Below are 706 nucleotides of genomic sequence, written 5' to 3' on the forward strand. Positions count from 1 at the left end.
ATTATCAAAACTTGGAAGCAACCCAAATGTCCTTCAGTAGGTGAACAGATAAATAAACTGATAAATCCAAACAATGGTATATTATTCAGTGCTAAAAAGAAATGAGCTATCAAGCCCTGAAATGATATGGAGGAACCTTAAATGCATATTACCAAGAGAAAGATGCCAATATGAAAAGGATGATACTCTATGATTTCAGGTATATGACGCTTTGGAAAAGGCAAAACTGTGGAGAGAGTAAAAAGATCAGGGGTTGCCAGGAGTTAGCAGGGAGGAATAGGGGAATGAATAGTCAGAACTTTCAGCGCAGTGAACCTGTTCTACATGATACCACAATGGTGGACATGTCACTATACACATATACATTCGTCCAAACCCACAGAACGCACAACACCAAAAATCAATCCTAATGTAAACTATGGACTTCGGTTGATTAAAAAAAAAAACAACTAAACTACGGAGATGGACATTTATGGAGGAAGAGGGAAAAAAAGAACACAGTGATTTTTACTCACTTTAATGTGTTAATGACGTATCAAAAGTGTTTGATTAAAACTGTGCCTTTTGTGCCAGGCATCCAGCAGGTGCTAGCAGTGAGTTAGTAAACAGAATGGGACACCCCCTGTCCCCATGGGGCTTACATTCTGAAAAGCCTGTTTGGGAAGTGTGGAGAGTGGAAGAGGAAGCCTGAGTGCCTGGGAATCCT

Source organism: Homo sapiens, chromosome 7, assembly GCF_000001405.40.
Source record: "Homo sapiens chromosome 7, GRCh38.p14 Primary Assembly".
Taxonomy (NCBI): Eukaryota; Metazoa; Chordata; class Mammalia; order Primates; family Hominidae; genus Homo; species Homo sapiens.